The following is a 27629-nucleotide window of genomic DNA, read 5'->3' as shown; positions in this document are numbered from 1 at the left end:
TTTTTAAATGGGGCCATCAATATGTTCCTTAAGTCAAGTAAACATGGATAGGGTACTAGACATCCCTTCCTCTGTTTTTTGCTCACAAACACAAAGTTGAGACTTCTTTAGAGGGGAAACAAGTTATCCAACCTCTCTTTTTTCATAATTATGCTGAAACCAGTCTATGAGTCATATATTAATCTGTCTCTCCTTTCTTCCCTCCCTCTCTTCCTTTCTTCCCTCCCTCCTTTCCTTTCTTCCCTCCCTCCCTTCTTTTCTTCCTTCCATAAATATTTATCCAGCAAGTATACCAGAGGCAACGTTATGCATGCCAAGTACATCATTTGTGTATACAAACATGGTTCTTTGTGTTTCAGATATTACAGTCCAAGGGAGTATACTCATATCAACATGTTACCATAAAGTGTAAGCAGTGCTAAAACAAGAGATACTCAAGATGCAAGAAGAGCACATCATAAGAGCAATTTAACATAGCACATAAAAAGTATGTTGTTATAAATAAGACTTGAAGGAGTTTACAAAGTGAATGATCAGGAGTGATGTGTTGGTGTGTGTTGGTAGAAAAATGAGAATTTTACTTAAATATACAGCCTGCGTGAAGGCCAGGTGTCAGGAGAGGACATCCAAATTTTAAGGAAAGTTCCACTGGTTCTTTGTCTCCTCAATGCAGACCTCTTTCCTGGCTCCGATCTAAGACCTGGTTCAAAATGCAAAACTGCAGTGGCTATTAAATTTTATATTCTTAGTATAGTATCTAAACACATTTTTAGTTATTAAGAAACATGACTACATAATGTTTTTCAATTTGTGTTCAACGGACTCAGCTTTAAAACTTTTAAATACTTAATTGTAAATGCAGATATGCATATTTACAGATACATTTGTACAAATAGATTTTGATTTTTATAGAAATTATTATACATAACAATTTTATAATTATGTAAATCTGGCATATGGTTGCATATGTATGTAAATGTTAATATCCAATTTTACATATAATAGCCTCTTATTATTATTTTTTAAATTATACTTGAAGTTCTGGGATACATGTGCAGAATGTGCAGGTTTGTTATTATTATTATTTTTGTAAGTCACTTATTATTAAAAACAGCATACATTTGTGGTGTTTTCCCGAGGCTAAACAAATGTACTTGAGCAATGTGAGTGGCCTTATGAATTACTTCATTGTAAATTCATGGAGACATTTTTAGTTGAGTTCCCGTGTATAAATCAGTTATCAGATTTTCCACCAGTTCAGTATTTTTTTCAATTACTTAACACTCTATAAAGATTGATCATCACCTTCTTTAACTTTTTATTAAACACATTCTGCCAATTCTTTCTTCACCACAAAACAAATGGGCTTGGTTTTGTTCACAGGAAGAGCCGCATTTGACAGATTTGCTGATGGTGTCAGTGTTGGTCGCAGGCTTGATGGACAGCACCAAACCTTGCTGTGGCCCAGCTCCTGCTAATTAGTTGTTTGAAGCCACTCCGTGTGCCACAGGCATAGGCTTATCGGCCAAAGATATCTTTACCATTCAGCCTGACAGCTGTGATGCAGCTGTTCATGTAGAAAATGATGCACAAAGAGAGGGGGGATGAGCCTTTCAGATAAATGACAACCATAGTATCTTCCACTGAAGGATCCTAAAGATATAACAAAACAACGAAAATGTAGAGTACAAAACAGGTGTAAATCAATATCTGTTGGATGAGTGTGGAACCCACACATGAAATGATAATAAATAATATCAGACTGTGAGAGTGAGAGGAAAATACAGCTGCCTTGCAAGTTCTTTTAAAATCCATTGAAGTTGCATGTTCTCGTAAATAATGCTGCTCAAGCATTTGCTTATTCAATTAATGTAGGTGTGTGGAGTTTTCAGAAGTTTCTGCACATGTGCACAGATACTAATGCGAAAGCTGGCCAGAAAGCCTTGTATTTGAACATTTGCAGAGAACATGGTCATGAATAATATATTGCGATGCTAAAAATCTCAGGATATTGGAGACACCCTGAGAGGAGTGACAGTCATCCACATATATGTGAGAAGGGTGTAGACATGGCAAAGCTAAAAATATAAAGTTACTATTCCTTTTTAGAAAAGTGTGCTTATGTTGAGTTAATAATGAATGAAATTCTTTTTCAGTCCTTGAAGATTGAAAACTGTGAGATCCCATTTTAACTACTATCCACATAAACTGGAAATCTAATGGAAAGTACCTATGGTTAGAAGTACACATTGACAAATCAAATTAAATAAATATTTTCACATAAACAGTTCGTATTATAAAATACCTATTCTAATTTCAAAATACGGACTGTAAATAATCTTTTAATATAAGATACCTAATATTGGCCGGGCGTGGTGGCTCATACCTGTAATCTCAGCACTTTGGGAGGCCAAGGCGGGCAGATCACTTGAGGTCAGGAGTTTGAGACCTGCCTGGCCAACATGGTGAAACCCTGTCTCTACTAAAAATAGAAAAATTCATCAGGCATGGTGGTACATGCCTGTAATCCCAGCTACTTGGGAGGCTGAGGCACTAGAATCACTTGAACCCAGGAGTCGGAGGTTGCAGTAAGCTGAGATCGTGCCACTGCACTCCAGCCTGGGCAACAGGGCAAGACCTTGACTAAAAAAAAAAAAATACTTAATATTTTATGAGACAGTTTTAAGTATATGTATATATTAGAGGTTTTACAAATCCTAACAGTGAGTGATATTTTAAACTTAAAATAGACTTTTGGATGTTTGCAATGGATATTTATTAGTTTATAAAATATTAGTAATATTATCATGCTCTATGGTCACATGTAATAATAACATCAGAGGCTGTGAGATATTGTTTGGTGTTTCACCAAATTCTGGGAGAAATGGAGGTTCAGTTATAGTTAGTCTTATCATTGGCTCTGTAGTATCTAAAAGTCTGGATATAGCAGAAGAATGTTATACCTATTTAAATTGCCTGATACACTTATTTATGTCCATGAAATAAAAAAAATTATGCAGCTAACATAACCTATATAATCTCAGGGTTGACTTGATTTTAGCTTATACTTCAATTTTATATAATTTTGAGTTTAAAAATGTTAAAAGCTTATTTACAAATAGGAAGCATAATATAATCACTCTAATTGTTAAGGAAAAATTATTTGAATTTTTTTTTTCTTTAGATAGTTCAGACAGTGTATTTATGTCAGAATGTAGGTGTATGGTGCATATATTAAATACAGATTAAGTCGTTAAAAAGAATGAAGTAAGCAACGAGCTTCTCTTTAAATGTCATTTATTTCTTCAATTTTGGAATTAGAATAAACTTAGATCATTTGATGTCTACAGAATCTTATGCATGAGAGAGAAAGAGAGATTCTGGGGCCAAAACCATCAGGAGATCCATATGCCACAGGTCAGACATCGAGTTTGAAATTGAATATTAGAATTTTGTTTTTAAATTTTATGAAATAACTAATGGATTTTATGAGGGAATTGAACGGAAGGACTAAAGACACAGTTTAAATGATGATCGGCAAGTCATACAGTGAAATTAATGTCTTGCAACCTGAGGATGAGGACAATTTTTAATGGAATGTAAGAGAGTAGAATAGAATAGGTTGTATAGAATAGAAAAAAATAGGTTAGAATGGAATAGCATGAGGAAACAATGGCAACGTGAAAAATTAGAAGAGAATAAAACATATTAGGTTATATTAGAGTGCATCTCATATAGCATAGTTAAATATTATTTCAGTTAAACTTTTATTTTAGTTGTATATGTTATTGCGTGCACATGTGTTTTTATTGCATCTCAGTGTAGGTTGATTATTGTAAGTCAAGGTCCAAAGTTTGAAAACCACTGACAAAAAAATAGCTCATACTTATGTACCACTTCTTATTTATCATATATTTCTTTAAAACACTTTGATTGTATTGATTAAACTAAAGGTAAAATCTCCTATGGCTTCTTATTTATGGTTGAATAAGTGAAGGCATCAAGAGATGACCTGTATAGTCATTTAGCAGATAAAGGGCTGTGTTGGATTAAACCCCAGATAAGCTGTGCTCTTAGCCACTAATCTAAGGCTTCTGACAAAAATGGCAGCAGACCCAGGATTGGAGACTAGCCCTCTGATTCACAGTGTGATACAATACTGTTTTACTTAATCAGTTACCTCTTCTGTTAGAGCAAATCCCAATCCTAAATCAGAATTTATTGATATATGTTTCATGGATTATTTGTCCGGACTAAATGAAGTTGAGAAGGTTCATCCTCCATGCATTCAACTGGTGATTCACAATCAGATTTACATAAACATGCATTTAACAAACTTAAAGTTAATTAATCTTATTTACATTTGTTTAACCCACTCACTTGTAAAATTATTTGATTATAAATGATACTCAAAGAACACATATTCCATACAACTTATTTTGGAGAATACTGGCCTAGGTCACGCATGATCCTATGTGATTAAACAGATTTTCTAATATTATAATCAAGATTCTTAAAATTTAAGTACAGTTAATCCTCCATTTTTAAACAACATGCAAATCAGAAATTTAAAAAGACATAAATATATGATATCAAAGGTGTGCTTGTATGTGTACATATTATCTGCATACTTGTTATGAAAGACGTAAAGGTATTTTTTGAAGTCCCTGCTTCTACCTTGTATTTTAGATATAATCTTCAATAATATATGCCCAGCATATTATTTTCAAATGAATATTCATTCAAATAGCAGAAGCCCAAAGACTTTCTTACACAGCCTAAAGCCTTCCTGATTTTGGTATTGTTTCCCTTTATAAAATATCTTTTTTTTAAGGGACTTACATGTCTTATTACAAGTATGATATCTTACTTTTTTCCATTCATGCCAATATTTAAAAAATAAGATAAACATAATTTTTCTGGTTTCTAAACACTTTACAACGTAGCAAAGCCCAAATGCTGTGATATGTTGAAATGATTGCACAAATACTGCTCTATAGTGAAGAATGACACACATGTAGCTAAATTTTGGATGTCAGGCCACTCCAGTTTCATTGTTAGGTAATGTATAAAAGCTTGAATTTTGCATAAAATGGACATCTTATTATGGACATTCTATTAATTGTAACATATTAAACGTACATTTTATATGGTTTAAAGTATACTTGATAAAGGTAACTACTTATATATATAATCTACTTACATTACGTGTGTGTGTATATATATATACACACACACATTATATATATATATTATATATATACACACACATAACACATATATATACACACACACAATGAGGAGTATACACACACACACACGTAATGTAAGTAGATTCACAGTGGCCACTTTTATTAAAAACTAGCTAGTTAGATTCATAGGGTAATATCAGAGGAGAGGAAAAAAATTCTTTAATTGATACTTTATTATAATATTTCAAGTTTTAATAGGCCACATCATTTATTTCCAACTTCAAATTGGAATAAAAGTGAGAGGAATGCCAGCACAAACTGTTTTAGAGTCTGTTTTCTAGCTACAGAAGGTGAAGGGCCCTGATATCCAGGACTCACATTCTCTCAAATAATTCCAGTCAGTGCTGGAGTCTAAAGATGATACAAAAAGCAAACCAAAACATAAAACAAAACAAAAAAAAAATGGAATACATGTAGAGTTTATAGTGAATTATAAAATAATGAAGTTCACTCATTTAAAATATACTAAATATGTGAATTTAATCCACATTCAGAAATGGTGTTTTTTAAAAAGCATACGTTGGGGAAGCTGTTTATACTTTTTGAAACTGATCTCATAGTCTAATACTATTCTATTGCTGTATAATTATTTCCATATTTATCCCTGGAAGCCAAGCTACTTTTAAATGCTCTTTCTGGCTAAATTATGTCAGTTTTGACTCAATAGGTATTTAGGACATAACATCTATCTAAAATAAACAGCTAGGATACAATTTCAGCAAATCTTATATTACTATTTAGTTTTAAGCAATTTGTAGGCATGCATTTTTTCCAAAATTTCACAGGATGTTTAATATTTTTTCTAAAGTGGTGGTTGGTTTGTTCATTCATTTATCCGCCTAGTTATATAGGAAGCATTTCCGCTGAGGCCATGGAAAGGAAAAAGCAAGAACCATTTTGGTGAGCCCAATCTTGATTCTGAATGTATTTAGAGAACATAATATGATAGTAATATCTTAAATAAGACAAATATTGATACAATAAGGACAGCCAAATTTATATTCAAGATATGGATTGGAAAAATACATAAACAAATGGTGGTAGTTTGCAATATAATACTATGCAGCAGTAAAAAGAAACCACTGACACAGGCAATACCATGGATGAACCTCAACACTATCGTGCTAAGTGGAAGAGAAAAAAACAAGCAGACACAGAAGGCTATATGCTGCATGATTTTATTTCTGCGACATTCTGGAAAAGGCAAAGTGATAGGGACAGAAATCAGATAGGTGGTTGCCAGGAACTGGGGATTGAAGGAAGACATTAAGTACAAAGGGGCACAGAGGAAGTTTTTGAGGCAATATAAATGTTCTATAACTTGATTGTAGTGGTGGTCTATCAAAGAAAAATTACACTGACAGAGTTAAACAGACAAGGAAGATTTTATTCAAGGCTACTGCAATAGATGAGAGAGGTGGAACTGAGCTCAATCGAAACAAAAGGCAGGAGAGTTTTTAAGCTCTTAAACTAGTGGAAAAATATTGGAGGCTATTAGGTGATAGATTGGTCGATGTGATTAGGCCATTTGAGTTTGCTAATTGCCTTTTTATCAAAGTTCGGCTCTTGCCTTCCCACTAAGACTAGGAGATAGGGGTGCTATCTTTCTTGATGAATTCATTTCAAAGGGATGACTTCCAGGTACTTGAGAAAGACCATCCTCATTTGTAAAAGTGGCAATCAGCAACCTCCCAAAAGAGCAGAGAAAGAATTTACAATTGCAAGTTTTCTAGAGTAAATGCCTTAACCAAAAAAAAAAAAAAAAAAAAAAGTTCAGAAGTCTACAGTTAGGAAGAAGTTTGTCTAAAGTTTAGTCAAGCTAAGCAGAAGGTTAAGAGTGTCTTAGTCAGGTTCCATGACTACATGTGTTTTTCAGAACTCATAGAATTACTCCTAAAAGGTTGAATTTTACTATATGCAAATGATAACCCAATAAACCTGACATTTTAAAAAGTGTAGCTAGGAAAGATGTCATTATTGTCAGAGAACAAGAGCAGTAGAATAATGATGCTATGCAGGAAGAGAAAAGTAAGATTATCACCCTAGAGAATGAATTTTTTCTTTTCCATGTAGAGAACATCTAATATCTTTCATTAGTGACATGATAATTTACAAACCTAATATATTGCCAGATACCCGGGCTCTGCTAAGAAATACAAAACAGAGACCATCGTTGCTATAGATAATAAAATGGGTTTGCTTGCATATCTTTTTGTTTACTGAATTGTTAAGAAGAGCAAGAAGCTGTTACCCAGAGTAATGTATTTGATTAAAATCAATACACCAATATATCCAAATGCTATCCCCAAACTCATCATCCCCATGGCTTCACAGAATTGAAGGAATTGTCCTATTTTTTCGCCAAAAAGCGATGTACATAGTCAGGTAAAAAACATCTCAGCAGGAGTGAATTTTGCTTTATTGAATTGTGCCTCTTTCTCAAAATGCAATAGTACAGTGGCAGAAAGAGAAAAGAGAGGTTCTGTATTTTGGCTCTATACTGCTGAATGCTTCATTTTAATTCTAGAACCAGAGAGTGTTTACTCTCCTGGTAGTAGCAATCGGAGGGCAAAGTTCTCATTTTCACCATGGAGTAAGTGACAAGGAGTTGGGAGCAGGGAACCAAGATCTCCAGGGGACAGTATGCTTTATGTATCTTATTAACAGGAATCATAAGTGTTTCTCCTCCACTTGAGTCACTTCATTGAAAATACAAAAAGCTCATTTACCAGCACCCATAGGCATAAGAATCATGGAAGCAATCAATTAACACAAATACTTTCCCTCTGAAGCTTGCTCGTGACCTTGAGATATGTGACGAATGACTTAAAGAATGAAACAGATAGAAGTTTCGTGCTAAACCAAAAAAATTATGTTCTTCCACATGTTGAAGAGAAATAAAATGGAGAAAGCCAGATATATGTTTAGTTTAAATAAGACCCAATAAATTCTATAACTGCTTCGTGTGGCTTTGGCCTCGGATCAGAGGTACCCAGTCTACACAGTAATCAGGACTTTCTCAATAAACCTCAGCCTGTTACAGTTCTTACCACATTTACTTTCTCAATACGATAGTACTTTACAGCTATCTACTCGCTTATGGCCAAAGTTCCTAGCAGTTATTGATAACCAGACCATAGACTTTACATCTCAACCGCACAGGCAGGAGGAAGGCAATCAGCACAGTGAATTTCCTAACCTGGATCTATCTTCCTGAAAGTTGAATATGATGACTAAGTTCTACAATTGAGCTTGTGAATCTCACTATGGCAAAACTTCTTATGTCATTTTTATTTTTAGCTCTTTGGCACAATTATAGAAAATTATTGTAGGAAAATCACAGCTTCTGTAAAGAGGAGCCCTGACTGCTTTTAAGAGCTTCTGAATGTTGGGAAAGCTCACAAGCTCTGTGCAGTGCATTTCTTTGTAGAGAAAGGCAGATAAAAATTTGTTTACTAAAAGAATGAAGTAAAATTGCATGATACTTTCAGATTGTCTTTCCTGTTCTCTGCCTCCTTTTTCTGAACCCTGCCTTTTCTGCCCTTTGCCTCAGCTGATATTAAAAATGTCTACTCTTCTAAGGCCCATCTTTCTCTTCAAAAATCACTTTTCTGTGATTTACCTGCCCATTTTCTTTCCTCTTTTTAAAATTTTCTTTTTTTTATTTATTTTTTTTGGGGACAGGCTGATATTTATTTTTTATTTTTTTATTTATATTTTATTTTTTTCTGTCACCCAGGCTGGAGTGCAGTGACGTGATCATGGCTCACTGCAGCCTCTACTTCCTTGGTGCAGGCTCAAGCAATCCTCCCACCTCAGCCTCCCGAGTAGCTGGGACTGCAAGTTTGTTCCACCACACCCAGCTAATTTTTATTTTTTAAATTTTTTGCAGAGATGAAGCCTCACTATGTTTCCCAGGCTGGTCTTGAATTCCTGGGCTCAAGTGATCCTCCCAGCTCGGCCTCTCAAAGAGCTGCTATCATAGGCACGAGCCACTGGACCTGGCTGGTGGTCCATTTTTTTGAGTGTGCAGCAGAGCTAATCTTGGGGAACATATAGTTGATGAGAATGGCAATTTTGATTAGCCAATTTCCCATTTCACTCTCACTGAGATGCAAGTGAGTAAAATTAATTAGCATAATAGCCAGAGGTGTTTGCAAGCTGAGTTCAGTAAAACCATGTCACAGTAATTTGATATATCATAGAGTGACTTTTCAAAAACTAGAAAATATGTGGATAGAATTTCAGAAAACTACCTATATAACAATGTACCTTTATCATCCACATTATACATATGATCATCCCTTGATTTAAAAGCAATATTATGACTTTTAGGTTTGTAACAATAGACTTTTTTAGATATCCTTGTTATGTGGAAAAATGACATTAACATTTTGCAATCAGGTTTTTTTAAGTAGCTTTATCAATATGAGTATGCTTTAACTTCTAAATTAGTGCCTAGTTTATTTACAATACCAGAGATGGTGTGAAATAAAGATATGAATGGAAGATCTCAGCAATATTCTATAACATATTTCTTACATAATATTCACTTCTGAATGTATATTAGTAATTAGCGCATTAATACTAACATAGCTAGTGCTTACGTATAGCAGCAGCTAGTAGTGATAGTACTTTCCGTGATTTCATATTGTTACAAGTGCATGCTGTTTATGAGGGCACTCTATAGTTGCAAATTAGTTCATTCTTTGTTTGAAAATTTCAAAATGCCTTTACTAACATCTCCACATTATACAAATATACTTGTGTTTCCTTTCCTACTTTGTTTGTTAAAAAAAATCTCTGCTGTAGAAAATAGAACGTAGCATTTTTTTTTTCTAGGGCAGAATGCACGTCTCCGTTTTTAATGCATGAGCAGGCGTTTTGGTTCATTAAGCTCAGTGGCACTGATAGTAAACTAAAGAGGAATGAAAGGAAGAGGAACTGAAATACCATCATCCCACTAATGATACTGAAGCTGCTCAGCTTTATTGGGAGACTGCCCAGACATTCACTAATAGAAGGCATGGTCCAGGATGTGAACTTGGTGATGCGGTGCCAAAATTGCAAATCCAGAAAAAAAAAAAGGCATTGCTAGAAGATTTTCTGGAATAATTTAATGAATTGTCTAGAAATACAGGGTGTGTGTGTGTGTGTGTGTGTGTGTGTGTGTGTGTGTGTGTGTTATTATATTTGTTGGTGGGTGAATTAGAGAGAGAGAGAACACAATAGAATAGAGAAAGGTTAAAAGAAATAATGAGATCGGGGAGTATTCAGTTACCTCAAGGCTGTGTTAAAAAAACACAGCAATTCTATCACAAAAGTATATGTATCTCAGAGTGCATGAATTGTAGAATATTCAGATAGTTTGTTGTCACTTTATAATTTGGAGAATTTAGCTCCTGAATGTTAAATAATTTTGAAAAACATCTTTCTTTTAAAGAAGGGGCTAGAATGCCTGCTTCTTCAGATACCCACACACATCCATATCACACTGCTACTTAGCTGTTTACTGATACCTAGTTATAATAATTAACATTATGATTTCTTTCATAGATGAATATTATTGTTCCAAGTTCACCCCTGCAAATGAGGGAGTATACAGAAATGTACCCTTTCGAGCTGGAAGGAAGAAAACAGATTCTCTGTTCAAATTGGGCTTATGCCCAGTTTGAACAGAGAATCACTCAGCTGTGGATGGCAGCTTTCGTGGCCTCTGGCTAACACAAACTCCTCAGTGGCTTTTCAAAGCCACTTAGAATCAAGTTCCAGCAAGCTCAAAGTAGAAGCTGCAGCTGCAGACACTGAGGAACACCTATGTAGCCTAGACTCATGCTCACAGCCCCCTTTCTGATTTTAACTCTGCTTGTTTTGCGCGGGAGGTTGGAAGGTAAATAGAGAAGGGGTGTTTCTTTCACCCAATGTTCTCTTCCTTTTCTGCAACCCCTCAGGGTGAGCTAAACCTTTTGGAAATTGGCCAGTTATACTCTGAAAAACACAGATCAGAGATTGAGCTTAGTGACCTCTTTGCCCTTTAAAAAAGAGCCAAACAGAGAATTCCCTTTTATAAGTTTAATGGCCCAACAAAGGCAAATGAATTAACAGAACAAAAACAGTAAGAAGGTCAGTTGTGATCACTGTACCTGAGTTCATGTTCTCCATTGAAACGTGGTGTGAAAATCGATCCATGGTTAAAGCTTTTCCTGCTGAGGACACTTCACTAATGAGAAAAAAAATGGCATTTTATTAAAATACCAGAGGATCCTATGGGGTAGAGCATGAAACATATGGAAAACACGGAGGAAAAATCTAGCAGAGATATCCTTAAATACAAATTAGTTTTTAGATAAAGAAAACAGTTTCGTGAGAAGAAGTATAAGCTATTTCTGGGTCTAAGGTATTTGGAGCCCAGCAGAGATCTCCATTTACTATCAGTGGTATTACAATTCTTCCATTCTACTTCAAGTTTTATTCTTATAAGTTTCAAAATAAATATAGAGGAGAAATTAAGTTTTACCAAGTAGGAGACTAAAAGGCCTTTATTAAACTAAAAGCATCTTAGAATTCAGTAACATCAGCTAGTGAATTGGAACATTAGCTAGTTTGGCAATATAAATGCATAATCCCAATTGTTACTTGAACTCTTTCTCTCTTTCTCATAAAGAATTCAAAATCTTAAAAATATTCTATAATATAAATTATTGTTTTATATCATCATGGCTCAAAACTAAGTACATTTAATACAGAATAACCCAGCTAATTAAGTATATTGTTTTAATCTTCAATTTAACATACATGTACTAGCATATTGCTTATCTACTGCTACACATATATATTTTCCTAGGCATTTTAGAGATACATATTTATTGAATTCCTAACTCCTACACTCATGTTTTCTAGAGCTTGAGACAGATCCTACACATACATCTTCATTGCCACCCATTTTGAACTGTATGCTCTAACAGGGCAAAAAGTTGGAAGAAGAGTAGAAGTTGAGATAGATTCAGGCTGATATATCAAGGAGTGTCTCAAGGAAATTGTGTAATTTGAGCAGAACATCAGAGAGTACTAGGAGAGCATCAGAAGATTAGAGCTTAATCAGGAAAAAAAATATCATGGGAGTAGTACCGTCTAGGCAAATGAGATAGCAAAAGTGAGGGGCAGAGGATGGAAAAATTCAGGGTATATTGTGGTACAGGGAGTACACTATCAGGAGAGAGAAATTTTAATCAATTTTATTGCTGATATGAATTTGTAAACCAGAAATAATATTCAGGCAGTAAAGACTTACTGAGATAGGCAGTAATAGAATATAAGAATATAAATGCTTTAAAATATTTTTGAGAGACATAGAATGTAACTTGTCATTTTTTTGTAGTTCCCTAAATTTATCGTAAAGAAAATTTCTCTTTCATGCAGTAATGTTTTGGGAGATGAAAAAGAAGATAAAACTTAAATCAATTAGATTCATTTGGCATATCTTCTTTCTTTCCTTTTCTTCTTCCTCAAAGGTATCTCTTCTATTTGAATACCTTAAAATGCTGCAAACTTGGTCAGTCCACAGAATCATTTATGGTCTGACCAACTGTCAGTATGTTAGCTAATAAAAATATTATAATGTAGGAAAGCCAGTCTTGCTTTGGAATCCTTTTCTTATGCTATTTTTCCTTTTACCTTCTGCTCCTTCAAAATGAACATCACCACCACCAACTCAGTCTCTCAACATACGTCTACAGAAAATCAGCCTAACTCACAAGATTCTTTCAATACTGCAAAGACTTTGGATGGCTTGGTGAGTGCAGGACATTACACTCACACAAATTAAGAATCAGAGACAAAGTTAAAATTCCTAACAGCGATGTGCTAATTACTATATTGCAGATGCTATGGGAATACACAGAAACAATTGGATTCTGATAGAGGCCAAGTTGAAGAACCAGTAGTGGATGAATTTTAAGAACTATCTTAAATAATGACCAGAAATTCAGTAGGTGGGAAATTAAAAGCAAGAACGCTTAAAGTGGCCAGGCACGGTGGCTCATGCCTGTAATCCCAGCACTTTGGGAGACAGAGGCAGGCGGATCACTTGAGGTCATGAGTTCAAGACCAGCCTGGCCAACACAGTGAAACCATCTCTACTAAAAATACAAAAATTAACTGGGCAGGGTGTGTGCCTGTAGTGCCAGCTACTCAGGAGGCTGAGGCAGGAGAATCGCTTGAACCTGGGAGGCAGAGGTTTCAGTGAGCCAAGATCGTGCCACTGCACTCCAGCCTGGGCAACAGAGTGAGACTTGGACTCAAAAAAAAAAAAAAAAAAAAAATGAACGCTCAAGATGAAGGGAACAACAGACAACAGGTTAGAAATGAAGGAGCTAAGGTGTAAGCATGCAGTTGTGTACAGGAGAAGAGTGAGCACTTCTCAAACAATGTCCAATGAGAAGGTGTTCTGTGGAAAAGCAGCAGCGACAAACAAGCAAACACAAACACAAAATCCTAACACAGCCACTATATCATAGTGTAACAAAGGCAAATATTAAAAACCCCAGGTTTCTTTCTTGAAGGCCTTTTTTTAACTCCTTTAATAAACTAATGCATTTTATTACTCTCTCATAAAAGGAACATTCCCTCATTAAAGAAATGGTTGTGCTTAGAACCATTATTTCAAGGGGTGTTTAATGGGACTGGTAGTCCATGGAACACAATGTGAGAAAGGCTGAGTTAGAATATCTTCAGTCAGCAAATGAAATATGGCTGTTTTTGTTAGAGAAAGGGAGACAGAGGTATTCTACATTCATTGGATACCTGAAAATGGGACACATTCTTTCAAACAAACAAATGCACACACACACACACATTAGTGCTGATTATATATCTGGCAACACACCTGTGACACTGTAAGCATAATGAAAAATGAGTTAAAACCCAGCCTTAGTCTCTATGTAACTCACAGCTGTGTTCAAGGTTTAAAAAGGAGTTAAATTATTATTTTCACCTCTAGAAATAATTGAACATTCGTAGGTAGCATTTGATCAGAGCCTTAGAGGTGATGTAGATATATATAAAGGGATTTCTAGGCAGAGGGAAAAACATAAATCAAAGTTTGTCCAGGGCTTCAAGGGGTGGTGAAGAACCCTGGTTTGACTGAATGTGTGCAGCATGTGTTGAAAATAAAAGATGAGAAAAATGAGAAAAAGTATTTAATTTTATCTGGACACTGAAGGACACTGAATGTCATGATAAAGACTTTGAAAGTCATTCTCTAGATAGTGTGAAGTTGTGAGTTTGTGAATTGTGACATCATAAAAAGGAAGAAATGTGGAGGACTTCACGAGGTCAGTATTATTTATCTTCAATTAAGATAATGTGGGCTGATAGACCTTATGCACTGAGGTATTTTGTGGATGACAGTTTTGTTTCATGAGATTTATATATTTGTAAACATCCTCCTATAAAGGGACTTCTTTCCCATTAACTTGTGTCATAGTAAAAAAGTAGTTGCTGATACCTTGGATTTAAACCAGTGAACACATTGCCATTGAGTGGCTGCTTTGTGAGTATGTTTTGATGGCATACAAAATTAAATTTGTATTAAATTTATCAAAGTGATAGTCTGATTGAGGGTAAATTATACTTACATATATGACATTTGGAGGGCAACTATATGCTATATTGAATGGAATTAAAGTATAAATACAATCAATTTAGAGTACAGGAACAAGAAGGCAACAAAATAAAAAAATGGAAAAAACAGAGCCAAGTTTTGATGGAGGAAGAAAATTTGGAAAGGTAGAGAGGAACCATTAAGTTAAGCTGGAAGGAGAAAGCAGGAGCAAAACTGTGGCATAAAGTTTTGTTGCATCATTTGCCTGGCATTGGAGAGGAAGAGGCAGGATTCTGACATCACAAATAAATATTATTTATGGAGGAGAAGTTCATTAAGGACATAAAAGGCACATTATGACAATCAAGCATTTCAATTTAGACCAACAGTAGAATATTTTTAGGTTTTTGAAAATGTTAACCAGAGTTTCTCCATGGCACATGAGATAAATGTTAGTTTCAGAAATGATGACATTACCACAAAGAGAACTTCTGAGACACCAGTGTTCCACAAAAATAGAACACAACTTGTTTTTTAATTTAGCGGCTTGGCTCTCTAGCCCAAGTATTCAATACAATAGTAAGTTACATTTACACAAGTGTAAATTTACTTTAAAGAGAGGATTGTGTTATACTCAGATTTAATAGTTTATACATAAAATAATGTCACTACTAAATTAAGAACAGGTCATGTATTTTTAAAGTGTTGCTTAAGGTTATCTTAGATAAACCTGTAAAGTTCTCCTGTTCTACCTCCCTATAACACTAGAGATATTTCCTTCCCCAAATTCCATATACACACTGTTTTATTTCTTTGTCCCATTTCTATGGTTATGAATTCAAGAATATACACAAATTAGATATTTATAGAAGGCATTGGAAATAATTCTGGAGTTTCAGAAATAGAATTCTAGAAAACATATTATTTTCCCACACCTTGTAAAATAACCCATTGTAAATGATTTTGTTATTTTATTTTGTGAAATATCTTCAAGTAATATGCTTCAGAATCATATATTATTATATATCCCTTATTGAATGATATGATTTGGCTTGGCATCCCCAACCAAATCTCATCTTGTAGCTCCCATAATTCCCATGTGTTGTGGGAGGGACCCAGTGGGAGATTATTGAATTATGAGGGTGAGTCTTTCCTGTGCTGTTCTCTTGATAATGAATGGGTCTTACAAGATCTGATGGTTTTAAAAAGTGGGAGTTGCCCTTCACAAGCTCTGTCTTTGACTGCCGCCATCCATGTAAGATGTGACTTGCTCCTCCTTGCCTTCTGCCATGATTGTGAGACCTCCCCAGCCACATGAAACTGTGAGTCCAGTTAAACCTCTTTCTTTTGTAAATTGCCCAGTCTTGGGTATGTGTTTATTAGCAGCATGAAAACGGACTAACACTAATATAAAACACTTCCCTAACTCATAAATCAAAACTGCAAGTTATAATATTTCACTAATAGTTCAGTTAACTGCATTTAGTAGATCACTATTACATAGATGGCTGTCTAACTACTACTAGCTGACAACCTATTATTGTCAGGTATATCTGAAATACTTTGCATGAATTATTGAATTATCTCATTGAAAACTCAAAATGTATTAACACCTTTCATTTTTTACCCAGGAGATCACTGAGGTGTAAAAGGTGTAGTAATTTGCTCAAGGTCATACAACAGGATTGGAGTTGGGATTTGAATTGTGACTGTAGAACCTGCAATTGTTACCACAACATCACACTCAATATTATCAGAAATTTTCTAGCAATAAGCAATTGCTCTCTAGTTAATTTTTTGAATTATTATGACAAGTTAAAGGAAATAACCTAATATGTTCCTTGATCCTAGTGCCCATTCTATGCCTTATTTATATCATGTCAATGAAATACACTGTGAGTTAATTCTTCTCATGTTGCAGCTAAGAATCCCTTTTTCTTGCATAGACCTAAGAAGGGAGTCAGACCTTGAGATAGTTTAAGTCAATTAAGATTATTCATATTGAGACTAGAAAATATTAATTGATAGAGGCTGGGAAAGATACTTGAATAAAATCAGATTTTTTTTCTTTAAATGTAAGCTGGTTTTCCTATCCAGAAATGTAATTATTTGTTTTTCTACTATTTTTCTGTAAACCAACAAAGTTTCAGAATCTTTCTGCTAATGATTGCCTGTTTTTAATTACTAAGAATAGACCATCCCATTTGAAAGGCACTTGTCTCATCCCTCATCAATTCTCATCTATTTTGAAGTTGTTGCTATTCACAAATGATGATGTCTTACGCTTGAACTTCATAGGATGATTGTACCCAGGGGCTTTTTAGGCAGCTGTGTTTAGTGTCTCATGGATATCAAAAGTAATGCCCTCACCATAGCTTCCTAACAAAGTGCTAGTTATATAGTAAGTACTATGAATCCAAGCAGTGTTTTATCATTATTCCACTTACTTTGATTTATTCTTTTGTACTTCAATAGCACAATGCAGCCAGCCTCTTGTTTGTTCTATTCACTGCAGCTATGCATTGAGTTGAGTGCTTTGCAGCTATTCTTCCTTCCATAAAAACATCTTCTTTCTTGTCCTGTACCCTGGAGCATTTTTTGGATTTGCTTATATTCCTTCTGTTTGTGTGTTGGTTCCAGGATTTGTTTGCATTCATTTGTAATAAACTGTTTTTTTTTCTTGTCTTCAAGCCAAGTTACTAAAATTATTTAAATGTGTCAGTAATGTCTAAAGGATGTCTTATTTCATTTCCTGTTCTGCTTTTTAATTTTATTGTGTTAGGAATTTTTCAACCTATTGTACATTTAATTGCAATGATTTTTCATTCAATTAGACATTTGTTGTGTTGTCTTACAAATGCGTTTTTGAGATTTCCTTTCATTTTTTTTCATATCTCTACATCTGGACAAAATAAGTAGAGCCATTTTTTGTCAAAGATATCTTTTAGTTGAGGTTATTTTTAACATGAACAAGGTGAGGAAATGTACTTCTTTCATATTTGTGCTATTTATACATAATTAATCCTAAATTGCTATTTGATATTTGGAAGTGCATTAGTTTCTTTTCCAAAGCTATCATGTCATCTGTAATGATGTGTGTGTATGTCCATCTTACAGAAGAAAAAAAATGGCAGCCAACCACTGGGGACTACAAGGAAAGCAATCATATTTATTCTGCCAGGCTCCCTCATTCTAGGCATATTGTTTTTTTTAATCATCTATTTTCAATATAAGAATACATTTTGGAGTAGAGGCTGGTCTATGACTGTTGCCAAAGCAATTATGTAGCCAGTTGTAAAATTAGCTTAAGATTTGTATTTGTTTGTTTTTCTGCCACCCTAGAGAATGCCTCCGCTAGTATTTGGAAAGTGGGAATTCCTACTACATAACAAAACTCAAAATAAAAGAAATATAATTAATAATTGTGCATATATATAGATTTTTTATTTGACTCCAGAATAAGGCACTACTCTCTACTCTTTTTAAATGAGCTGACAGCAAATCTACTAAGTGTTTTTCCAAAATGACTGTCTACTCCATAAGAGAAGCATACCTTTCACACATAAGAGCTTCACTGTTTCTGTAGTGATACCTCCTCCTTGTTATGCTGAATGACAGTGTATCATAATCGTACGTTATTCACACTGATGCATGCATTTCCTTGTTTAATTGTTTACTGTGGTTGTGATGCACTGCCCAGTTAGTGGACGCCCAATAGAAAAGAACCCTTACAAAACACTTGAAGCTATCTTTCCAGTGTTCTTGCTTGTTCTATACCACATCCTTTACCTTCTGATCTCTGCTTTTTTATTAAGCCCACCAAGATTCCTCCTTAATCTCAAATCCCCAATGATTTTCCTTTGCAGATACCTTTGTTTATAAATAGAGTTCTCTTACACTTTGTCTATTTTAAGTCCTAACATGTATAATTTGTCACCTATTTCACATTCCACTTTCAAGTCCAAAGATGCTACAACTTAGTTGTTCATTTTCTGTCTCCACCGTTGTACCCAACATCATTCTCCATTAAAGATAAAATCGGGTGTTCAAGGCCCAAATACAAGATTTTTTCTTTTTAAAAAAATTAGTCCCGGCCCTGCGCTATGCCTCACGCCTGTAATCCCAGCAGTTTGGGAGTCCAAGGCGGGCTGATCACCTGAGTTCAGGAGTTCCAGACTAGCCTGGCCAACGAGGTGAAACCCTGTCTCTACTAAAAATACGATAATTAGCCGGGCGTGGTGGCGGGCCCCTGTAATCCCAGCTGCTCGGGAGGCTGAGGCAGGAGAATCGCTGGAACCAGGGAGGCAGAGGTTGCAGTGAGCTGAGATCATGCCCCTACACTCCAGCCTGGGCGACAGAATGAGACTCCATCTCAAAAAAATAAATAAATAAAAATAAAAAATAAAATAATAATAATAAAAAATTAGTCCCACGGCCCTTACATTTAACCTCTTCATGAATTGGATTGCCTTTACTCATCTCACTGTTTCATGCTCTGCATCTTCTTTTTTCTCCCTTAGAACTCAGTCATTATTTTTGTATCTTTCACTATCTGTGAAGACATTCATGAAAGTTTTAAAAAATCTCTTAGATTGAAGACTGGTGTCAAATGCTGATCAAGGAAAAGAGAGTATTAGATGAAAAGTTTTGTCTTCTCTAATTTTTGTTCTGTGTTTAGCAAGTTAAAAGTTAATTTAAGAACCCAGTAAGGTGAAAGGGCTGGTGGGAGTCATTGAAGTGAGGAAGTGTTCCCTATTTTTTACTGAGTTCAAAAGAATACAGTGCCAGATAAGGTATTTTAACTCGCAGGAGCCACCCACCAGAGAAAAGAAAAAATGTAGGTTCTAAGGAGTTGAAGAATATTTTTTCCCTCTATGAACATCAAACATTGTGTACCTGAAAGGTACAGTCCAATGAAGATGTTGTTCCTTGACTAAGGTGTTGGTTTAAGCATAAAACTAACCATAAGATGCCTAGAGGGAAAAATTGTAGTAAAAAGGATCTGATTGCTTTCACAAATCTCTGAATCTCAGAATGGGCAGAATGCAGGCACATTTTCCCAGAGGAAACCCCTAAACGCCTGTTTAACTGAATCTGGTGACTCCAAGGCTTATGTAAGCTCATATTCTCTAGTTCTTTGACCACTTATGACTCAGGATTCTCCTTGAATTTAAAAGCACTTTGGGAACCTTTGAAAGTTTGAGGTTTAAAAAAATAATAACAAAAAAAAAAAACCACTAAACCTTCTAGGAGAGAAAGTAATCCAATGGTAGTCACATTATATATATATTTTAAATTTTGCTTTATTATTTCTAATACTATTTCCAATAATTTCTCTGATATAACATATATATTTCATAATTTACTTTTAGTTTTGACTATGAATTAGGCTACAGACTCTGTCCTTGACCTAAAATTGTCCATGAAGACCATGTCTAGTATTAGAAATAATAGAAATCTAAATTTTCAAAAATAGCATACACTGGTCTCTTTTATTATTTTAAATATAAATATATTTTTTGATGGTTAAAAGACTGACTTTTCTATCTTTCAGTTAATGCATTTTTTTTCAATTTGGTAAAGATTAAATTGAACATCAAACATTGTCAGGAGCTTTCATATACATTGTCGTATTTAATCTACTCAGTTAAATCTATGAGATAGGTATTATTTTCATAGTTAGATTGTAAAACCCTTACCGTATGTGAGAGGGATCCAATATCAAGTGGTGAGAGCTGTCTGATTTCCTGGACAATATTCCAAAGATATATGTAACTTTAGGACATTGAAAAATATCGCCATATTAATAAAATAGTATTTGTGAAACTATCAGATTTTCTTTACTATAAGGTTGCATTTTGCCTGCTGATGTTTAAAGTATTTTAATCTCTAGAAACCTCTTTTCTCTACTGATTTCAAAAATTAATTCCTCTGACATAATAATATAATTTTCATGATTCACTTTTAGTTTTGACTATGAATTAGGCTACAGACAGTGTACTTAAACTAAAATTGCCCATGAAGATCATGTCTACAAAACAAAAACAAAAATCAAATATCTGACATTGGATAAACAGGCATTTCCTCAAATTCATTCTACTAAAACATAAGTTCCATTGGTCTTTTTGGCATGTTGAAGAGCAGAGATATGTATTTTAATTTAGAGTCAATAAATCGGATTTGAATTAACAATGTGAAACATGATGTTTTGTATTTTTTTTTACCTTACTCCTTCTAATTCAAGATTATTTGTTATGCCATACTTTCATTCTTAATCAGCAGTAACTGAATATCTGATCTGTAGTTATGATCTTATGTTTATGCTGAGAAAGACAGATACACAGTAATTGAATATTTTTTTTTACTTTCTTACTCTCTGATTCTTGATGAATATTATTCACTGTAATTTATAGTACTAAGTCTAATCCACTCTGGCTATTGGTTTTAGTAAGTTATGACAATATTTTAATGAATAACTTTATCAACTACTAAATATTGTGATAATTCCCACTAGACACTTATCAATACATTTATCATTCATATGATAGCACGATGGATAGCCGAGTTTGCAATGAAGATATTTAATGTCTTGATGAATTGTTTTGATGGTCAGCAGTATCTAAATTTAAAGTCCAAACTCAACGTTTTATAAAACATAGGCATTTGGAATTGGCTGTCTTTCAAGAGAAGGGTAGGACTTCAGGACATGACAGGCTGCCTGACACGTAACATGTGTTTACAGTATTTAGGGAAAAAGGCAAGTATATATTCCAGTTCCCAAATTACCAACTTTAATAATCTATACATTCCAGTATGAATAGTTGTCCAGGGTCTCTTCACCCTTTAGCATTTGTAAACAACTGTAAATTGTTAGCAGTAAACTATAAATAAACTAGAGAAAGATTACTTTTTAGAATCTAGATGACAAACATATGGGATTATATAGAAAAGTCAGGGTAAAACGTGATTCTTATGGTAAGTGGGAATTTTTCCTTGGTTGACATTTAAAAATACATAGTGCAGTTCTTTTCACTGAAATAGACATTGGAATGGAAACTGCCCAAACTCTCTCGTGTAGAAAAGAAGAAAAATGTTCAAAGCAGCCTTTTACCTCTGTGCTTTGTATGCTTTGTGTGTCTGGCATCATGTGCACTCAGTGAGAATCCACACGTGTTGATGTTTACCTAACAGCGGGATGCACAATTTCCTACCACAGTGCATAAGAAGACAAGCATAACATATGCTTGAATATTCCAAATAATTTGTTAGAAGATACATGTGGATCTATATCTAATATGAAATTAATTTTTCACACACACAGAGTTCTGTAACCAGATTTTTACACAGTGGGTTGTGGTATTGTAATCCCTCATTTATGAGCCATGTGTTTGAATTATGCTACTTGAATTATCAAAGTCATCTTGCTGTTTGAATGCCGCTGGCATCATATTTGAAAAAGTTTTATAATCAAGTCTAGCTCCTTTAGGGGAGATGTTGATACTGACCCTGTAGGTGGTACAATAGATGTTAGTTAGTGGCCTGAAGTTATTTTTTTATTTCATGTATTTATGAAGTGTCAATTCCCCTAAAGATACCAAAATTCTGATAACTTCTCATTATCTCCTCCTCCCTCCCCCTTCTACATATCTCTCTGTCTCTCTCTCTCTCTCTCTCTCACACACACACACACACACACACACACACTGCTGCTTTTGTACACACAATATATTATCTGCCTCCTTACCTCAAAAACTCTGATGGAGAAAAAAAATTAATAGACTTTTAAGTCTGAAACATTTTAACAATTTAACAGAGGATTTGATATTTAGAGAAGCCTTCAAGCCTTCAGATGCCCAGCTGAAATGCGTCTTATCTTGTTAAATGAGAATTATGTACTGTTTCAGGCCCAAAATAATGATGCTAAGTGTATTTACTGAGCACCTATCTTATGTTAAATGTTTCCCTGCGTATCCTCATTTATCTCATTTACTTCTCTTAGTTTTGTAATATAATTGTTACTGTGTGAAAGCTATGTCAAGAGAAAGGAGTTCTAAATTTTACTAGGGGGCACAGTGCTGCCCTGCCTCTAGTTTAGACTGGCCTTATTTTAATTAATGACTGACTGTGGTAAAGATCCATGAAGTATGTTTATCCTATCTGCACATAGTATAAAGTAAAATCTACAAGGCAGATGACAGAATCAGGGTAAAAATGATCTCTAAGTGACTACAATAAAAAAGACAAAAAATAACAGTCTTACATGTGATGTTCAATATGAGTTAGAGCCAAAGAAAAATGTAAATACAAAATGCCTTTGACCTAGCTTTTCAGTAAAGCTGAAAAAATGATGTTAAGATTTGCAGGGCTGAGTTTGTCATAATCTATTATAATCCAGCAAGTTTAGATTGCTACTGAAAATGATAATATTCTCTTACATCAGATTAAGAAATGCTCAGGATGTATATTAAGAAATTTCATGGAGAAATACTGTCCCTACTAAAAATACAAAAATCAGCTGGACATGGTGGCACACACCTGTAGCCACAGCTACTTGGGAGGTGGAAGTGGGAGGATCACTTGAGTTCGGGAGACACAGACTTCAGTGAGCCATGCCTGTGCCACTTCACTCTCTAGCCTGGCTAACACAGTGAGACGCTATCTCATAAAAAAAAAAAAAAGAAAGAAAGAAAAAAAAAAAAAGAAACGAAAAGAAAAAGAAGAAATGTAATGATGTGATTGACCTTAAATTAGATTGGCCAGATCATATATAAAGTATTATATTCAATTCTGGGCACCAAATTTTCAATGACGCATATCTAGAGTGTAGTGTGTGCAAAGGAGGAACACTTGTAGCAAAGCAATCTGGACCCCATTTCCTGTGGCAACCAGGAATATGGTATATCTGGAAAAGAGGAAGGCTTGGGAAGCTGGGGATGGGAGTGGGAGTGTGGGAGGAGCTATGTTTTGTCTATGTGTCCTTCAATATTAAAAAGATCATCTTGAGGAAGTATAGTAAACACATTTATAGCATTCAATAGAACCTGTACAGGGAGATTAGGAGAAAAACCTGACGTATTGAAAGACAAATCTTTCAAAGAGGGAGAACCACAGTAGAATATCAAGCCCACAATGGAACAGGTTGGCTTGGTGAGTAAAGAGCTTCTCGTCCTTGGTAATGCATTTCTCATGTTTAAAAATAAATTGGATTGTTTGACATTCACTATTCCTTCCCCTATGAATGCTTAAGATTTTATACTTTAAATGTAGGATGAAGTAGAGAGAAAATAGCTTATGCATATTTTAAATATATAAAAATGTCATTCCCCCTATAATTTAATTTTTATTTTAAATGTTTTTATAGATATTAGGGTGACATTTCATAGCAGGCAATTATAACATAAAATAACAAAGTAGACTGACGCATGAATATTGCTAACAAAAATAAGATCTTATTCAGACATGGCTTAGGTTGACTTTACTTTTTTGCTTAACTTGCCAAGGTAATGTTTTTCAGAATAAATGGGAGAAAAGGAATGCTTTATAATATTTAAAGGTAACTTTTACAAATGCATCTATATACACATTAAGAGGTTAGATATTAGAACTCAAGTTTTAGACTTATAAATTAAAAATAAGAAGCTATCTTCTTCCTATCATCATTCATAGATAAATGGTGTGGGCCATCTCTATATTTAATCAGTGTGTATGTTGCCATCATCCTTTCAGACACTACAATCCAAGTTTACAGGTATTGTTTCTCAAAAATATTTCTGATTTCAGAAGAGCACGTTCTTTGAGTATGTATATAACTAGAGGGAGAAGTAGAGGAGATTCAATTAGCCAATATATTTGAGCACATCTATTTAATTTCAAAGACTTGCAAGTTGAATCCCACAGAATTTGACCTATGGGATACCTGTGTTAAAATATCATATTGATTTTTTAGTTTTGCATTCAATTGTTCTCACTGAAGAATATAATATGAAAGATATGAAATAATGTTTTAAGAGAATAAATACAGGACACAATTTATTGTAAAAAAAGCCTTTATTAAATTTTAATAAAATTTCTTCGTGCTGTTTTTAAACTTTTTAACTTACTATGCTCCTTTTCCTAGGACTGTATGATTTTGTAAAGAATTACTGTATGCTTAATGCTTCTCTAAACATTATATCCTTGCTAGATGTGTGCTGAAGACATGAGCACAGCCAGATATGGTAAAATTATTTCAACTTTATCCATCAAAATTAGAATTGAAAAGGGCATGTGAAAATTCTGGATGGAAAAAAAGTAGAATCTTATGTTGCCCTATGAATTGACTCACTAACTCAATGAAAATAAATTGCTTTTACTAATACTCATCCAAATCTGGCAATAACATAGTTGAAGCACATAATGAAAGCTATATTTCACCATATTGAAGTCAAAGATCTACAATATATCAGCAACATCATTAATTTTGACACTGTCCTCAGATTTGGCATATACTTTCATAATTTAGTCATATGTCCTTTATGGGGACTCTTCAGTCTCTAGTGCTGTTTCAGACAGTTCTATAAGAGTTCAAAGTCTAGTAGTAGACGACATGTTAAAATAATCAAAATGCAGTTTTACAAATATTCCAGAGGAAATGTGTAAAAGGAATTGTGGCTCATTCTAACTGTGGAGCTTGGAGAAGGTATTCCATAGAGATAAATTTCAACCTGTGCCTGGAAGGTTAAATTTGTTATGCAATGAAAGTAGAGGAGTATGTTTCAGACAAAGAGAATAAGAAATGTTGAGGGGGGGGTGGTAATGAAATAGGCTAGAAAATACATTGACTTTGTCTGCCTGCCGGGAAATAGGTCTGAAAATTTGCACAAGGATAGATCAAGATTTGCCTCATATAACAAATATATATAATGTAAACATTAAGCTGTTAGTGACAGTGCCATACATGTACGGTAGAAGACCAATCTGGCTGCATATTGATAGAGGGATTAATACATGTTAATCTTATCCTGATTTAGAAGGATGAATTAGAAAACCATCACAAAAAGTGATAATTAATAAGCAATAAGTAACAGAGGGACTAACTACGGTAGACCATCATGATCATCTTACTATTCTTATGCTTTATGTTCAATTTCTCCTCTGTGTGAAGAGGAATTTAAGAGTATCGTGTGTGAACAGGACTTTGATTTTTTTTAATTTTATTTATTTTTTATTTTTATTTTTATTTTTTATTATTATTATACTTTAAGTTTTAGGGTACATGTGCACAATGTGCAGGTTATTTACATATGTATACATGTGCCATGCTGGTGTGCTGCACCCATTAACTTGTCATTTAGCATTAGGTATATCTCCTAATGCTATCCCTCCCCCATCCCCCCACCCCACAACAGTCCCCAGAGTGTGATGTTCCCCTTCATGTGTCCATGTGATCTCATTGTTCAATTCCCACCTATGAGTGAGAATATGCGGTGCTTGGTTTTTTGTTCTTGCGATAGTTTACTGAGAATGATGATTTCCAATTTCATCCATGTCCCTACAAAGGACATGAACTCATCATTTTTTATGGCTGCATAGTATTCCATGGTGTATATGTGCCACATTTTCTTAATCCAGCCTATCATTGTTGGACATTTGGGTTGGTTCCAAGTCTTTGCTATTGTGAATAGTGCCGCAGTAAACATAAGTGTGCATGTGTCTTTATAGCAGCATGATTTATAGTCCTTTGGGTATATACCCAGTAATGGGATGGCTGGGTCAAATGGTATTTCTAGTTCTAGATCCCTGAGGAATCACCACACTGACTTCCACAATGGTTGAACTAGTTTACAGTCCCACCACCAGTGTCAAAGTGTTCCTATTTCTCCACATCCTCTCCAGCACCTGTTGTTTCCTGACTTTTTAATGATTGCCATTCTAACTGGTGTGAGATGGTATCTCACTGTGGTTTTGATTTGCATTTCTCTGATGGCCAGTGATGATGAGCATTTTTTCATGTGTTTTTTGGCTGCATAAATAACCTCTTTTGAAAAGTGTCTGTTCATGTCCTTTGCCCACTTTTTGATGGGGTTGTTTGTTTTTTTCTTGTAAATTTGTTTGAGTTCACTGTAGATTCTGGATATTAGCCCTTTGTCAGAAGAGTAGGTCGCAAGAATTTTCTCCCATTTTGTAGGTTGCCTGTTCACTCTGATGGTAGTTTCTTTTGCTGTGAAGAAGCTCTTTAGTTTAATTAGATCCCATTTGTCAAAAGAACAAAGCTGGAGGCATCATGCTACCTGACTTCAAACTATACTACAAGGCTACAGTAACCAAAACAGCATGGTACTGGTACCAAAACAGAGATAGAGATCAATGGAACAGAACAGAGCCCTCAGAAATAACACCGCATATCTACAACTATCTGATATTTGACAAACCTGAGAAAAACAAGCAATGGGGAAAGGATTCCCCATTTAATAAATGGTGCTGGGAAAACTGGCTAGCCATATGTAGGAAGCTGAAACTGGATCCCTTCCTTACACCTTATACAAAAGTTAATTCAAGATGGATTAAAGACTTAAATGTTAGACCTAAAACCATAAAAACCCTAGAAGAAAACCTAGACATTACCATTCAGGACATAGGGATGGGCAAGGACTTCATGTCTAAAACACCAAAAGCAATGGCAACAAAAGCCAAAATTGACAAGTAAGACTTTGATTTTGATTGCTCTCTGTGGACTCATTCTTACCTTCACTTCTCTTCTTTCCTTCCATCCCAAAATATTTTTGATTCTCTAATCC

General features: G+C 34.6%; 1 protein-coding gene and 1 long non-coding RNA gene across 7 annotated transcripts in view; one reads left to right on the top strand and one right to left on the bottom strand.

Moving 5' to 3' along the window:
* The window catches only part of PCDH9 (protocadherin 9), a 927503-nt gene that overhangs the window by 332865 nt on the left and 567009 nt on the right, over positions 1–27629 (top strand). The window contains exon 4 of one of the 6 annotated variants that reach the window (XM_017020620.3): positions 360–24122. The exons of the other annotated variants lie outside the window; for them this stretch is intronic. Coding sequence (XP_016876109.1) covers positions 360–422 — 63 coding nt within the window. The 3' untranslated portion in view covers positions 423–24122. Of the gene's footprint in view, positions 1–359; positions 24123–27629 lie in introns of those variants that run through there. 6 annotated transcript variants of the gene reach the window in all.
* PCDH9-AS2 (PCDH9 antisense RNA 2) overlaps positions 1–27629 on the bottom strand; it is an 89863-nt gene that overhangs the window by 17560 nt on the left and 44674 nt on the right. Inside the window, exons 3-4 of the long non-coding RNA NR_046527.1 lie at positions 20553–20628; positions 11396–11472 (exon numbers count right to left, since the gene is read on the bottom strand). This is a non-coding gene — a long non-coding RNA (PCDH9 antisense RNA 2). The remainder of the gene's footprint in view (positions 1–11395; positions 11473–20552; positions 20629–27629) is intronic.

The sequence above is a fragment of the Homo sapiens genome, chromosome 13, assembly GCF_000001405.40.
Source record: "Homo sapiens chromosome 13, GRCh38.p14 Primary Assembly".
Lineage (NCBI taxonomy): Eukaryota > Metazoa > Chordata > Mammalia > Primates > Hominidae > Homo > Homo sapiens.
Note: the sequence above shows the minus strand (reverse complement) of the source record. Positions and strands in the feature narration are given on the sequence as shown.